The sequence below is a fragment of the Homo sapiens genome, chromosome 11, assembly GCF_000001405.40.
Source record: "Homo sapiens chromosome 11, GRCh38.p14 Primary Assembly".
Classification (NCBI taxonomy): domain Eukaryota; kingdom Metazoa; phylum Chordata; class Mammalia; order Primates; family Hominidae; genus Homo; species Homo sapiens.
Window position 1 is genome coordinate 128,819,065 of NC_000011.10, and position 2,027 is coordinate 128,821,091.

At 44.4% G+C, this 2,027-nt stretch overlaps 1 annotated feature.

Annotated features, from left to right (window-relative positions):
* Nucleotides 298–804: an enhancer, noted in NCBI's record as "H3K27ac-H3K4me1 hESC enhancer chr11:128689257-128689763 (GRCh37/hg19 assembly coordinates)". NCBI's record gives its function as "activates a minimal SCP1, AML or CMV promoter by ChIP-STARR-seq in primed H9 embryonic stem cells {active_cell/tissue: H9 hESC(primed)}" and the evidence as "EXISTENCE:reporter gene assay evidence [ECO:0000049][PMID:30033119]".

Sequence of the window (2,027 nt, forward strand, 5' to 3'; positions counted from 1 at the left end):
TTTTGTGTCTGTAATTCCTTTATTTGACAGTGAAAAGAATGGTTTCCATTAGACATCCTATAAGCCCTTCCTTGTCAATCCTTCTGCATGCACCCGGTCTTCCATCTCTGCTGCACCCCTCACCTCCATGCAACGTGTTCATCTCCCTGCATTGGCCCTAAACTCCCATCCAGGCCACCCCACTGCATGGGCACCCTCCTCACCCCACCCCAGGCAGTGCCTCTGTGTGGATGTTGTTCTCACCCTGTTCAAGCTCTGATGCCCCAACCCAGGCAACGCCTCCACAGGCAAACCCTCCTCAACCAGCTGTAGCCCTGACAGCCAGGACAGGCTGCACGCCCTGCGTCCCATGCTCTCTTTACTCCACTTGGGCACTAACACTTCCCATCAGGACGCGCCACACGGAAGCCCTTCTCACCCCGTTCAGGCTCTGATATCACTACCCCCTGACACCTGCCTTGCTGTGCTGCACCCATGGCTCCTGCAGTCAAGACTTCAGTGGGAGGGGGAGGAAGAGGGAAGGAAGGGGAAGGAAGAAGGGAAGATGCGTGCTTACACATTTACAACAGCACATATCTCATTGGGTGTGTGTATGTGTTGCCCATGCATGGCAAAAAGGGACCACAAGATCCATTAAACTGTAGTTTTGCCTGCTTCCATATTCTCTCTCTCACACACACACACACACACACACACACACACACACACGCACACACCCTTGTGCCTTTTGAGATGCAGAATCTGGCAAGCAGTTAGAGAAAGGAGAGAAAGAGATGAAGGAGTAGTTAACCAGAGAGGCTAACAAGATAATAATAAGGAACGAGGCACAGACAAGTGGAGAAAATGAAATGTTAAAATCTTGTTTTAGGTGTGCAGGGGAGAAATTGGAAGTGTGGCTGGTAAGGATGAAAAAGCAATGTTCTGGGTTATAACGTTAATGTTTTTGATAGAGGCTGGGGTGAAGAATGCATGGCTTTTTAATTATTTTTGGTTGTTGTGTTCTGTCAAGAGAGAGTAATACAAGACCCCAGGATCTATTTGTATCTGAAGTCTGTGTCCTCCATTAGACAATAAGGGAATGAAGGGCAGAAACTTTGTCTAACTCTTTCTTTATAAGCCAGTGCCTGGCTTCTAGAAAGATCCAGAACATGTCTATTTGTCAAACTACACCTACTGGACAAAACGTGTCCAAACCCAATACAGCTGCCCAGAAATTCTGAGGGAAGCATGAGCTGTCCGTTCTGCTCAGTTACTGTTAATTCCGGAAATACACAGAGAAAATAAAAATCACGGAAGATGCAGTTAAAGTATGGAGCTAGACCACTGTTAAAACTTGCCAGCAATTTTTACCAATCCAATCTTTGGTGTTAATTGGTTTCCCCAGAAGATGCAATATCTCTTTCCCCACTGATGATTATATTGCCCAGAGCCGCTGGCTTTCAGAAATGTTTAATCAAGCATTGCATATATTCAAGCAATACTTTCCAGACACCTCAGCTTTTCTTGACAGCGTTACCTTCCTTCGCTCTTTCTTTGTCTCTTTTAGGAACATCAAATCATCCAGTGATTTTCTGCATAACTCAAAGTTTTGTCATTTAGAAAAAAAATCATAACAGAACAGATAACCATTAGGAAATCAATTTGCATCAGACATCCATTTGAGAAGTTTAAAATGTGGGGAATGCAAACTCTACCCATAGGGACTTAGTCTGTAGGGAAGAAATATGAACTTGCCACTAATTTCTGAAAAGCAAAATTAATTCAGTTATAGCTAGATCTGCCTTCATAAGGATATTTCTGATGCTTCTCAGCCTGTTCCTTTTATACTGAATATTTACAAACTTCAGTGATCACCTGATCAGAATCCAAGACACAAAACTCAAATGAATCCAATTTTTCAAGTGGCTTCAACCCAGCAACCAAATCATAGGGCTGCCATTTGTGCTCAAAGCCAACACTCCAAGGTTTTGTGTAGATGAGAATGAAGAGGGAGAAGGCGAGAAAAGAAGCCATTTCCTGCCGGGGGC